We start from the raw sequence: 12069 nt of genomic DNA on the forward strand, positions 1-12069 counted from the left end.
AGAGGACCTAAAGACAAAGATAACCCACTATGTATCTTTTATAATTCAAATGGTGCAGTGTAAACAGCTCTCATTACACTGTAACTTGTTTTTTTTTTCCTCAAATCCTGTCATCTTTTAGTTTAAGAAGTCCTTTAAATACTGCTTAATATGAATAATTGGATTGGCTAGAGAGATCAGATTTTATTGTTCAAAACTGGGCAAAATTGGGCATAATACCTTGGATCACCATCTCAAAAAAAACTTTTTTTCTGGATAGAAAGAAAATGATATCATTTAAGAGAGAAAAATGGTAACTTTTAACCTGTTTACCTGTCTTTCAAAATGCTTACATTGATCAGACCAGCCTGGATAACAACAGTACAAAGAGAGCTGGTGCATGCACTTGACCGCCATTAATTACCGGGTTTACCATTCTTTATGACTTTGTATTTCAATATTTAACAGTTCAGAGTACATGAGGATATGTGTGCATACCATACTTAAGAATCATTTTATGCCACCATCCAACACCATACTTAAGAATCATTTTATGCCATCAGAAAGACATTTTTTAAAAAAGATTTTCAGATTGGAAGACTAACTGAAGTAGTCAAATATGTCAACAATAAATACAGTATAACAAGAACATTCCTAAGCTTGTCAATGGCTTGGGTCAAATTTAACATCATAATTCAAAAGCACCCAAAGAACATATCCTAACAGTAAATTAGTAGTACCCCTTCATATTAAATGAACTGCACTATGTTTTAATTGTAAATATTGATATATTAGGCATTTTGAAACTTAAATAAGGAAGTAGAGTTACATCCTTGAAACATTGTATAAGGAATTTTGTAAGATGCATTACCTTACCACTCACAGTTGCTCTGATACCAACTCTTATTAAAATCATTTTTTTCCATCTGTGGTTGTCCCATCCCATAATATTTAATAATATTAAGATAGTTTTTTAAGAAAAGGTAAAATCATGACTCATTCAAATATAAAACCAAACCCGTGTTCAAGATTTTATTTAACTCAAAATGGAACCAGGCAGAGAAGATAAAGAAAATCCCAGAATTAGACACCTTAGAGCAGGAATATTGAAATAAATGTGCAAAAGGAGGCAAAACTTCCACTGAATCTCTGAGAGAATTCGCATGTCTTGACAATAATTATTTAGCATTGATGTCACTTACCTAGTTTACGTAACTGAAAAATAGCTTTTTTAGAATTAGTTATTCCAAGGGGTGTTAAGATAGAATCTAAACTATGTAGTTTTCCATTGAAGCACACACTTCTCCCCATAATAATATAATGCACAGCACCTGTCAGGGATATTAACCATACATACCCACTCAAATGCTCCCTTTCCCACCAAGCTTATTAAAATAATAGTTTGTGGCCACAATTTCTTCCCTTCTCATTTATCCAATACACAGCAATCTTGTTTCAAAACTCCTATGCTGCTACAGCTGTCCACAGTCTCATCATACGCATTCTTTGCTATTGCAATTTTCTTGAATATGGAAGATTAGCTGAACATGCATTAAGCTCAGGAAACTCTAAAGAAAATCAGATAATGTAGACAAAAGTCTAATTTCTAGGCTGGCTGCAGATACCTTGTTCAAGAAGCGCCGGCAGGATCTTCTTTTGTACAGCTATGTTAGCTTTAATTTTGCACAGCTCTAGACATCAGAACTCATTTCTAAACACTTCTATGCAGCTCAAGAATAAAAGTAGCAGAAATGCAAGAGAGAAAAGCTAATTCCCACTTGGTGAAAGAGCACTTAAGTCTCAGTGAGCAAACAAGGAGGAGTCAGCCTTGGTCACTTCCCCCTCAAGCGGCCAGAGAGCGGAAACACAAAGCCAGGCCAGTGTCACTCCAGGGATTGCGGGAACCTAGACAACGCACCATCCTGGGCTCAGCGTCTACCCACCCCTCACCCGAGGTGCTCTCGGTTCCGTAGAATGTCCAGTCCACAGGAACGGCAACACGGACTTGTCTTTGGGACTACAACCAGCAAGAGCTCCCGCCTGCCCCATTTCACCTGCACCCTAGGGCGCCCGCCTCCTTGGCTACAGCACCACTGTTCCTAGTGCCCGCCGACTGCCCACCCTTTCACTTCTCGTAGAGACGGCGTCCCCGACAACGCCTCGGGAAAGAACCTAACCAACATGCGAGGAAGTGGCGCCAGGCTCGTTCTTCAAGAGAAGTGACAGAACTAACCCTCAGCCTGCAATCCTGACCAGGGCCGAGTCCCGAGCGCCTCGGACCGCGCCCCCGGCCCTCTCCGCCCCGCCTTCCCTCCCGGCCTCAGTCCCTCCTCTCACAGCACTCTGGTGGTCCCATCCGGGCGGCGGGCGGCACGGATCAGGCTCCTGGTAGAAGGCGGCCGAGCGACATCTCCGGCGACCCTCAGCAGGAGCGCGCCGAGTACGGCGAGTCAAAGTCCCAGGAGACTGGAGTGACCAGCTGCAAATGCTCTGGGCTGCGAAACACCGGCTTCCGCTCCTGGCCAGAGCTCACCAATCAGCGCCCGGCTTTCTCCGTCATTTCCTCCTAGAAGGCAAAGGGAACCTCTGGCGGAAGAGGCTTCCGGAACGGACCCGGAAGGGGCAGGTCTTGTGGGCGGGTCCAATCGGCTGGGAGCCTCGTGGAGGCTGAGGTGAGTCCTGGAGGTGCGTGGTTGGGGCGGAGAGCATTATCTGCGGCTCCGATTTTGCAGATTCTGGCTGAGGCGTTCGTGATGTCAGCAGCAGCCGAGACGGGCGTGTTAAAGGCCGGTTGCTAGGGCTGGGGGAACTCAGGTAACTACGGGCGTCCCCACAGCAGTACTTGGAAGCCCCTCAGCTACTCGGCGCGGTTGCGGGTGCTGAGCAGAGCTGCCTGACCGTGCGTGTGCACGGGCTGGCCTGAGGATGATATGACCGTGTGTTCGGTGTGTGGAACCCTCCGTCACCCTCCCCTGACCGAAGACTCGTTTAGGAATGTGTGGCAGGTCTGTTGCCACGGTCCAGGCCTTCAGTGCATCTTGGAAACATCGTTTTGGGGGCTGTAGGTTAGGAAGCGGAGATCATGGGGTCTCGGAAGAAGGTTTGGTCGTGAACTGTCAGAAAGGAGGCGAAAGCTGTGCACGTGGAACAAAGTGAACAGTGCAAGTTGTATGGGAGGTAGTTTAAATATCGAGGCGATGAAAAAAGGCTGCTAGAATTGGGCTTACTCGAAAGGAAGTGGGCCTCAGAAGATAATATTAGTTAAAAGAAGTAGAGGAGAACATGGATGTTATTCTAAGTAAAACGAATAATATGAAGAATACAAGGTCGCGGGACGAGGAAGGAAACTAGCCAGCCTGACAGGAAGGTTTATTCGAGAAATACGGGGGTTAGATAGGATGAGTTTTTGGAAACTGGCAAACGATTTAGCCTTTTCAAGGCTTTAGGATAGGGAAAGCTCATTTGAAAAGATTAGTCGGTAGTATTATGACGTTTAAATGAAAAGAGTGAAAAACATGGAGGCGGAGGTGCTAGGTGGAAAATCAGTGCAGTAATCCAGTGATAAAGAGCTGGAACTGAAAGTGCTGGAGAGAAAGGGATCCTGTTTCAGAGTAACAGTCAGGTGGAATTGACTAAAGAGAAAGAGGCAAAGAGAAGCAGTTTAGCATAGTGGTTAAAAGCAGAAATTTTGGAGTTAGACTGGCTGGATTGGGATCTGGCTTTGGCAATTAGCTGCTAAATGACTTTGAGTTAGCAATTTGCCATCTCTGGGTCTGAGTTCCTTGTCTGTAAAATAGAGATAGGAAGAGTGACTTCCCTTGTGGTGTTATTGTGGAGAATTTGTTTATTTATTTTTAGAGACAGAGTCTCACTGTCACCCAGGCTGGAGTGCAGTGGCGTGATCATAGCTCACTGCAACCTCGAACTTCTGGACTCAAGTGATCTTTCTGCCTCAGCCTCCCCGAGTGCGTCACCATGCCTGGTTAATTTTTTAAAAAATGTTTTGTAGAGATAGGTTCTTGCTGTGTTGCCTATGTTGGTCTGAAACTCTTGACTCCTAGGCCTTGGCCTCCCAAAGTGCTGGCATTACAGGCATGAGCCACCATACCAGGTCCTTATGGATAATTTTTTTATGCTCATATTTACAATGTGCTAGAGGCTTTTCTAAGTGCTTTGCATATGTTAGCTCGGTTTCATTAATTGCTGTATGTAATTAAACAATTGCATAATGTTATCAGTTACTATAGCGTAAGCACTCTCTAAATCTTGGCTGCTATAATAATATTTTTTTATTAATAATTCAAAGGTTATTAAATGGTTTTGAGCCTGAAGAGCTGGGAAAATTGTGTCTTAGTGTCAGAAGAAAAGAGAGGGGTACCAGAAGTAAGGTAGGCTTGGTTATAGACATGTTAAATGTGAAACTATAAGGTATTCAAGTGGAGATGTTCAGTAAATATTGGAAACTCTATAATTAGTATTCATGTAGGTGGAAAGGACTGGAAATAGACAGATGGGAGTCCCTGGACCTAGGCATGCTATATGAATTCTCCAAGGAAAACACTGTAGAAGGAGGTGGTAGATGGCCAAAGACAGACAAACATAAGGAACAACTACAGAGTCTGGAGGAATAAGAGGAATTGGGAAAGAATTAATCAAATGGCCTAGGCTAAGAGCATTATCACCATGTTAATATTATCTTTCCTTGATTTTAAATTGGCTTTATGTTGGTTCCTGTGAGAGAAGCAATGAGGCCAGTAAGTGATTATTACCAGAAAATATTATCAGAGAGTTGAGATTGAATTTTTTTTGTGTTAGACTAAAACAGCATTTGATAATTAGAAAGACCCTGTAGAGTTAAGCCAACCAACCAAAGAAACAAAAAACAATAGCAAAAAGAAACAGCTCCTCATAAAAGACTGTAACTTCTTTATTTTTGTGTGTTTTAAGTTGCATGGGTGTTTTTTGGGGATACTTTTTACTCTTCCATGTAAAGAACAGATGGGACTGATTTGTTATCTCCTTCATTCACCTCTTGTCCCTTTTATAAATAACCAGTGGATTATGGATTTTCAGTGAATTTAATAAAAGTGCAGAAATTATGGCATCTTTCCAAAAATAGTGTGCCAAGTTGCTCAACCATTTTCTATGCCAAGGGTAAGTGGCTGCTCTGATTTTGAAATGAAGGACAGACTTTCATGTACTAGTAGTTCTCAAAGTGTGGTCCAAGAACTGCAATAGCAGCATCACTTGGAAACTTGTTAGAAATGAAAAATTCTAGGCCCTACCTCAGACTTATGAAATCAGAAACAGGTGCTGGGAGAAGAGATGAGATGGTGTTTTCTAGCAATGTTTTCATAAGCCCTCCAGGTGATTTGGATGTATACTAGAGTTAGAGAACCACTGTACAAGAAGGTAAGTACCATGAGGTTAGGGATTTTGCCTTGTTAATAGTGTATTTCCAGTGTCTAGAATGGTGCCTGTCTAATTGGTAGGTTTTCAATAGATATTCATTGAAAAATATGTTCAGTCTCAGACTGCCAATCTCTGTGTAAAAGCTTTGATGCTGGTTTAATGGGCAGAAGTAAATCAGTTTAGCTGCATTGAGCCTATAATGTCAGATATGCATGAGGTGGGCATGACAACGTGACTAATTTGGAACTTGAGGAATGAGGGATTATATTGAGTCAACACTGAATAAAAAATGATGTCCAGGTATTTTAGGTCAATGATTCATTTAGAGTAAATAAAGATTAAGAAGTCACAAGTTACATGCTTTTAATGACATGATCAACAGTTGGTGTTGTTCTGGCGCAGTGGCTAACACCTGTAATCCCAGCACTTTGGGAGGCCGTGGCGGATGGATCACTTGAGGTGAGGCTTTCGAGACGAGCCTGGCCAATATGGTGAAACCCCATCTCTACTAAAAAAAAAAAAAAAAAAAAAATTAGCCGGGTATGGTGGCACATGCCTGTAGTCCCAGCTACTCGGGAGGCTGAGGCAGGAGAATCGCTTGAACCTAGGAGGTGGAGTCAGCTGTGAGCCAGGATCCCACCACTGCACTCCAGCCTGGGCAACAGAGTGAGACTCTGTCTCAAAAACAAAAAAACAGTTGGTGTTTACTAACCTAGTAGAACCAAGGCACCCAAGGAGCTGAGTTTTCTTTGTTTATATGCACAGATTGCTTCACCTGTGGTATCAGACATCACAACATGGGGCTCACCAAGCAGTACCTACGCTATGTTGCTAGTGCGGTCTTTGGCGTTATCGGCAGCCAAAAAGGTAATATTGTCTTTGTGACACTTCGTGGTGAGAAAGGACGTTATGTGGCAGTACCAGCTTGTGAACACGTTTTCATCTGGGACTTAAGGAAAGGAGAGAAGGTGAGCCTAAAATGACCAGTTTGATACTGATTTATTGGTATTTGAGGATGGAGAGGTAGTAGAAGTGGGGGGGCTCTGATTTATTTATCATGAGTTTTTTTGTGTCTGTGCCCTTAGAAGAAAAATCTTTTTCCTTTAGGTCTAGCTAGCCAAGCATCAAGTTCCTTTGTGTTCTTCGCCACTGAATTCTGAAAACCACAATGAAATAGGAGCTTATTTCTTAGATGTCTATTTGTTGGAATATTTACAGGTCATTATTTGCAGTAATTATTTATTCCTGATGTATTTTTTCTCTACCAATTCTATTTTTCAAGCTCGACTTATGCTTATAGCTGGTTATAAAATATTAGGCATGTAAAAGGAAGGTTAGTCTATTTTGGCAGAATCTTTTTCTAATATGGATAATGCCCAAGTGTTGTTAAAGTAGACTTTGATACTTTGTGTGACTGAATTCCCTAAGCCTACCACTTTTGCCAAACCAAATATAGGCATTTTGATATTGTCCATTCATTTTGTGATTCCCAAGAGGTTAGTACTTTGATTCTTGTTGCCACCAAGAGTCCTTTGTGGTTAAAACCACTGCAGTACTCTGTTGCCACACAGATTATTTTCTTATAAAATGGGTCTCAGTTAAAGGAATTTATAAACCTTTATTGAAAATCACGTAGTGTTGTTCTAGGGTTAAGAATTAGATTAAAGGGATTAAATTTATTTTATTGCCTAGGGAGTTTTTATATGTATTACAACAACGTAGGGCTTTGGAGAAAATAATTAAGCCTTTTCTTAAATGTTTCATTGCCTAGTACAAATACTAATTTCTATATTAAAAAACTTGAAATGGATTGTGGAGTTTCATTTTTATTCATAAGAGTAATTTGGAATTATTGGTGCTCTTAATTTTACTGTGCCTGAGTATTCCTATGCTTTTCCCTTGAGTTCATGCTTAACTCTTCTACATTGTTTTTAATTTTTATGATTTCAGATTCTTATCCTTCAGGGGCTTAAACAAGAAGTTACTTGCTTATGCCCCTCCCCAGATGGGCTACACTTAGCTGTTGGGTATGAGGATGGGTCGATCCGAATCTTCAGTCTCCTGAGTGGGGAAGGAAATGTGACCTTCAATGGTCACAAAGCAGCTATCACTACCTTGAAGTATGATCAGCTAGGAGGCAGACTGGCATCTGGGTCCAAGGTGAGCCTTTGAATCAGCCCAGGCTTTGATCTATTAAAGGAATGTAAGGCTTATGCTGAAGCAAGTTGTTGACAAAAATTGTCAGGTAAAACAATGGGCTGTCAATATACAAAGTAGTATAATGATAGAGTGAAGAGGATGGGTGTGAATTGGGTGGTTCATTTTGTTTCCTTTTGTTCATTTTGTCATATTTTCTGATAAAAGCCTCTTAAGTGTAGGAATAAGATGAAGAGAGCCATGATAACTCTTATTGTGGAAGTGCTACGCAAAACAGTAAAATAAGGAAAGAAAACAAAGACTGGAAAAGAAGAGACAAAATAATTATTTGCCATTGACTTCTGTAAAGTCAGTAGAATTTCCTGTATCTCACAAGTCATGAGTTAGAAAATATAAAAGATTCCATTCACAACAGATTAAGTAACAGACATAAAAATACCATGAAACTTTACTGAAGAATGGAATAGAAGACTTTTATAGAGATATAATCCATGTTCTTGAATGGGAAGACAAGGTATTGAAAAGATGGTAGTGTTTTCTAATTGATTTATATAGCTAAAGCTATGTTTAGACATATGTTTATATAGATACAGATATATTTAAATAGATATCTTAAAGGTTTTAGTTGTTACTTAGAACTTGACCTAATATGGAAAAGCAAAGGAATTGGAAACACTAAAATTTGGGAAGAAAAGAATAATAAAACAGGGGTTTTAGATATTAAAATGTCATATAAACCCATAATTTAAGAAGTATCATATTGATACTTCAATGCAAGTACCAATGCAAAATAGATTATTGCAACCAAATGGAAATCTCAGAAACACATCCATGATTACATTCCTAATTAGTATATTTTAAAGACGACATTTTAATAAGTAGAAAAATGATAGATTACTTATAAAACAGTCCTTAGACAATTGGCTATTTGAGCGAAATTTTTAAATTAAAGCTTTACCTCATGCTATATACCAAAATGAAACAAAGATTAAAGACTTAACTATTAAAAAATAGCATTTTAAAGTAAACTAGAAAATATGTAAGTAAATATCCGATAGCAAGGTAGAAAAGGACTTTATTAGCAAAGAAATAAATTAAAAAAGGAAACTGTTGGTAGATTGGAATACTTGAAACATTTGTACATTAAAAACAAGTCAGAGGACACTGAAAAAGTTAAAATATTTAATATTTTCAATATAAAAAGAAAGGATTAGTATCATTCATCTATTAATAACTTACAGTCAAATAAGAGATGACACTCTAAGAATGATAGACAAAAGAAAGTCATGAATTGGCAATTCAAAAGAGATACTTTATGGCCAATAATCACCATAAAGCATGTAAAATATTTCTCATTTGTATTCATAAAAAATGTAAATTAAAATAAATATTAAGACTGAACATTTTTTACTTATGATATTTGTAGTAGTTTTTGAGAAAACTAATAATAGAGTTAAATGAATGGGGAACAGGCCTTGTCATACATATCCCTGCTGGTTCTATAGATTTACCCAACCTGGAGATCATTTTGATAGTATGAATCCAAAACTTTAAAAATAAACATATCATATAACCCAAGAGCTTTTCATTTTAGTTTTTTCTAATCAGAGATACATACAGAAATTTGTATATAAGAATGTTCACTTCTGCATATTTATAACAGCAGAAGGTTGGAAACTAAATGTCTGAAACAGAAAAATTTTTAAATAAGTTGTGCTATTACTTTAGAATTGATTATTATGTGAGCATTAAAAATGTGAACACTCTGGAATAACATGGAAGAAATGGAAATAATATTAAATGAATAAAGAAAAGGTTGTAAAATGATATGAATGGCATGATTTTAGTCTTCTAATAGGAAAATAACCTGGATTATACATAAAGACTAGAGCAATAACAATGTCTGGGGATTATTTCTGGTTGGTGAGAATAAGGCTGGTGTTTATTCCCCTGTACTTTCCCCATGCTTTCCAAATTTTCTGTAAGGACTGTGTATTGCCTTTTTAATAATTAAGTCTCATTGTTTGTCAAGTTGGGCCATATATGGTAAAGAAAATTATTTTTCATCTGTATTATTTGATCCCTTTAGGACACAGATATTATTGTATGGGATGTGATCAATGAAAGTGGTCTGTACCGTCTAAAGGGGCACAAGGATGCCATCACACAAGCATTGTTTCTACGAGAAAAGAACCTGCTAGTTACTAGGTAAAGAAATAATGGTTTAATTTCCAGTTATTTTCTAGGAAGAGAGAATTTGCTTTATTCCTTACTCATTTCTCTCATGAGCAGTGTGCTCATGCTTATGCATTAGTTTTCTCTCCTGTTCTCCTGCATTCCTTCTTTCCATTTCTTCTAAGTAGTATCGTAGAGCTATCCAAAGCTATATTATTTTTAAAATCATTTTTCTAATTTGTCATTCTTTTTTCTTGATATCAGTTTTTCTGTGTTTCTTAGCCTTTTGAAACTCATTATAGAATGAGCTTTGTCTACCTTCTAGATCTCTAGAAAGCCAGGAATCAGAATATGGAGCAGAGGGAAGATATGAATACCAGGTGTTAAATTCGGCTTGCCTTTTGAGGAGAGATGTACTGTACTTCATAGGCCTTCTGAACACCTATTAGGATGAACCATTTGAAATTTTTATTTGTGTACATAAAAAATCATCAAATATCAACAATTTTATATTGTTCAACCTAATATAATAATGAATATTCCTAAAGAATGGCCACCTAGGAAAAGCTGGGATACCAAGGTTTGCCAGGCATTAATTAGAGGAACCATAGTAATGACTCAGAAAAAGCTGTGAGCACTAAATGCTTTACCAATGGTGGATTTGTTTCTGTGGGATAGGATACAGGTAAATTAGTGTCTTGTTCAGATAACACAGGTTCTGTAAGAGAATGATTCTATAGTTCTAATAGAAAAAATATATATTACAGCTTAGGGAATATAAAGGCAAAGAAATAACACTGTAAGGTGGGGTTATATGGGACGGACTTTGTAAATCAGGTTTTTGAGCGGTGTTTTTTTCCAGTTTGCTCATGAAGGAGGATTATATTAGATTTATGTAGTGAGGAGGTAGGGAAGAGGTGTTTGAGCAGGAGTAGTAGAGGCCATTGGCTGCGAGAGGTTATATTTAGGGGGTTAAGAACAAATAAATAGGAAATTTTGAGACTGCTGCCAATGAGCCTGACTTTGATTCTACAGGGAACATTGAGCTAGTGCAAATATTAAAAATTAAGGTTATCTGACAGTTGCACATTGGATGGGATGAGAGAACAGCAATGGACAAAGAGACCAAATGAGAAGCTGTTAAAATAATCCAGGTAGTAGGACTTAAGTTCAGGTTAGTGTACAGAAATGGACTAGAGGAGTTAATACTTAGAAACTTCACAGAGGAGGCATTTTCAGGACAAGAGACTAACTGGACAGGAAGACAAGGGAGTGGGAGCGGTCTAAGATGTTTCCATGGTAGACTGTCTGAGGGGAATGCCAGTGCTGTGATGATGGAAATGATAGGAGGAAGGCCTGATGGATCAAATTCTGTATTCTTTGGTACTCTGCATCTAAAGTCATTCTTGTGCTTATAGGTGGAACATTTTATTTTCTGCACAGGAATAACTACAAGGAAAGTTAGGATTCTTTGCTTTTCAAAAGTAAGATCAGAGAGAATCGGAGCTTTAGACATTATTGAAGCATATGTTCCTTTTAAAGCAACAGTGAGTTTTGGATCTCCCTATTCGTTGAATGAGTTTTCCTAAACAGGCTATATATTTTTTTCCTGTTTCTTCTTTTAGTGGGAAAGATACCATGGTGAAATGGTGGGACCTTGATACTCAGCACTGCTTTAAAACAATGGTTGGCCACCGGACTGAGGTAAGTGTAGGGTCATGGGCCCAGGGAAATAATGGGAAGGCAAAAGGGAAAAGGTGGTGGTCTTCTCTTCCCCTTTCATGGCTCTTTGTTTTTAGTGCACACAGTAATTATCATATGCCATCTTGAGGGACAGTGAGGCTGGTATGATGGAAGCAATGCCAGCCATTGGAGCAGATACTGCTGCTCTGACATGTAGTAAAAATTGGCCTTGCGTGGTTTTTAATTCCTGAGTTTCATCATTTCTAAATAATAAGTGTCCACTTTTATGAATGTAGGGAAGTTTAATGATATTATATGTGCAGCACCTAGCTTATTGACAGGTAAGCAGCACGTGGTAGCTGTTAAAATAGTTACTTGAACAGAGATCTATTCAGTTGAGTTCAGGGACTGTTTTTTATATATCTTTGCATCCTCAGTGCTTTATTCATATCAGGCATTCAGGAAGGTAATACCTAGAATTAATGACAAGAAGATTAAATTCTTTGTTGATTTGCAACAATATTATTTTCATTATTTAATTCCCGGATACTTGAAGCTGAAAGTTATGCAATGGACATTAGTGGGGCACCTTTTATTTGCTAGACACTGCTAAAAGCAAAGAAATAGAAGACTTAAAATCATCATTTGAGTGGATTCTAGTTA

At 38.6% G+C, this 12069-nt stretch overlaps 2 protein-coding genes across 3 annotated transcripts in view, besides 3 other annotated features; one reads left to right on the forward strand and one right to left on the reverse strand.

Annotated features, from left to right (window-relative positions):
* The window catches only part of GDAP2 (ganglioside induced differentiation associated protein 2), a 66137-nt gene extending 63647 nt beyond the window's left edge, over positions 1-2490 (reverse strand). For both annotated transcript variants that reach the window (NM_017686.4, NM_001135589.3), the window contains exon 1: positions 2317-2490. The gene's annotated coding sequence lies outside the window, so the exon portion shown is untranslated. The remainder of the gene's footprint in view (positions 1-2316) is intronic.
* Positions 2415-2709: an enhancer, noted in NCBI's record as "tiled region #13757; HepG2 Activating DNase unmatched - State 1:Tss, and K562 Activating DNase unmatched - State 1:Tss". NCBI's record gives its function as "activates a minimal TATA promoter and a strong SV40 promoter by Sharpr-MPRA in HepG2 and K562 cells {active_cell/tissue: HepG2 | K562}" and the evidence as "EXISTENCE:reporter gene assay evidence [ECO:0000049][PMID:27701403]".
* Positions 2415-2760: a biological region, named in NCBI's record as "Sharpr-MPRA regulatory region 13757".
* Positions 2591-2760: an enhancer, noted in NCBI's record as "active region_1589". NCBI's record gives its function as "activates an Ori minimal core promoter by ATAC-STARR-seq in GM12878 lymphoblastoid cells {active_cell/tissue: GM12878}" and the evidence as "EXISTENCE:reporter gene assay evidence [ECO:0000049][PMID:35858748]".
* Positions 2608-12069, forward strand: part of WDR3 (WD repeat domain 3) — a 36805-nt gene continuing 27343 nt past the window's right edge. The window contains exons 1-5 of the mRNA NM_006784.3: positions 2608-2651; positions 6157-6359; positions 7342-7551; positions 9638-9756; positions 11349-11427. Of these exons, the coding sequence (NP_006775.1) occupies positions 6189-6359; positions 7342-7551; positions 9638-9756; positions 11349-11427 (579 nt within the window). The 5' untranslated portion in view covers positions 2608-2651; positions 6157-6188. The remainder of the gene's footprint in view (positions 2652-6156; positions 6360-7341; positions 7552-9637; positions 9757-11348; positions 11428-12069) is intronic.

This window comes from Homo sapiens, chromosome 1 (genome assembly GCF_000001405.40).
Source record: "Homo sapiens chromosome 1, GRCh38.p14 Primary Assembly".
NCBI lineage: Eukaryota > Metazoa > Chordata > Mammalia > Primates > Hominidae > Homo > Homo sapiens.